This window comes from Homo sapiens, chromosome 10 (genome assembly GCF_000001405.40).
Source record: "Homo sapiens chromosome 10, GRCh38.p14 Primary Assembly".
Lineage (NCBI taxonomy): Eukaryota > Metazoa > Chordata > Mammalia > Primates > Hominidae > Homo > Homo sapiens.
In genome coordinates, this window is record NC_000010.11 from 130,889,186 (window position 1) to 130,890,316 (window position 1,131).

Consider the following 1,131-nt stretch of genomic DNA (forward strand, 5'->3'; position numbering starts at 1 on the left):
TTGCAGAAAGTCAAGCCCCTGCTCCATGGCCTTCCAGAGGTGGCTCACTCCTCTCTGTGGATGGGTCAAGGTCAGAGTCACCCAGGGTAGGAGCAAGACTGGCTTTTAGAATCAGGAACCTGGAGGCCCAACATTCCTCGTCCATTCCCTCTGTGTCCTGAGACCCAAGGCCTCCTCTGTGGTGACTGGAGTGTTACAGAGAGGGGAGGGCCCCGGGCAGCAGTCATTATGGGTTCCTGTGCGTAAGGAGAAAGACAGCTCAGGCCTTAGTGTATGAGTCTGTTCTCACGTTATAACTGGGTAATTTATAACGGAAAGAGGTTTAATTGACTCACAGTTCCGCACGGCTGGGGAGGTCTCAGGAAACTTAGAATCATGGTGGAAAGTGCTTTTCACAGGATGGCAGGAAAGAGAAAAGTGCAAGCAGAGGAAATGCCAGACGCTTATACAACCATCAGATCTAGTGAGAACTCACTCACTATCATGAGAACAGCATGGGGGAAACCACCTTCATGATTCAATCACCTCCAGGCCCCTCCCATGACATGTGGGGATTATGGGAATTACAATTCAAGGTGAGATCTGGGTGGGGACACAGACAAACTGTATCAGTTGGCAAGACTGTCAGAGGTGGTAAGCAAAGTACTCTGAGGAGCAGTACACAGTATGGCTGCTGTTTCCTTTCCGGGAGATGATACAATCTCCCGGGGGGCAAGGCCAGGGGTGTGACAGGTCAGAAGTGAGCCTGGCTGTGTCTGACTGTGGCTAATGAGAACACCACCCACAGCAACTGCCTTCAGCGACCCTCAGCCCACAAGGTCCTGGGAGGGCTGGGACGAGGCCTCCTGGTTGAGATAGGAGAATGAGAATGAGCCCTTGTTCCTGTCCAGGACCCTCCTTTTGCAGAGAGTAGAGGTCAAAGGAGCTGGGGTTCCCCTCCTGAAGCCAGCACCATAGGCAGCTCCGTCCCCCTCTCTGCCTAGGGAAGCCGGGATGGAGGAAGGGGGACTTGACCTTGGGAAGCACACCCCAGTGCTTGGATGGATTCTGAGATTTCATAATGAAAATGTAAGCCAGGCTTCAACTTAACATCTGTCTAAATAACAAACTAAAAATCAAGGAAGATACATC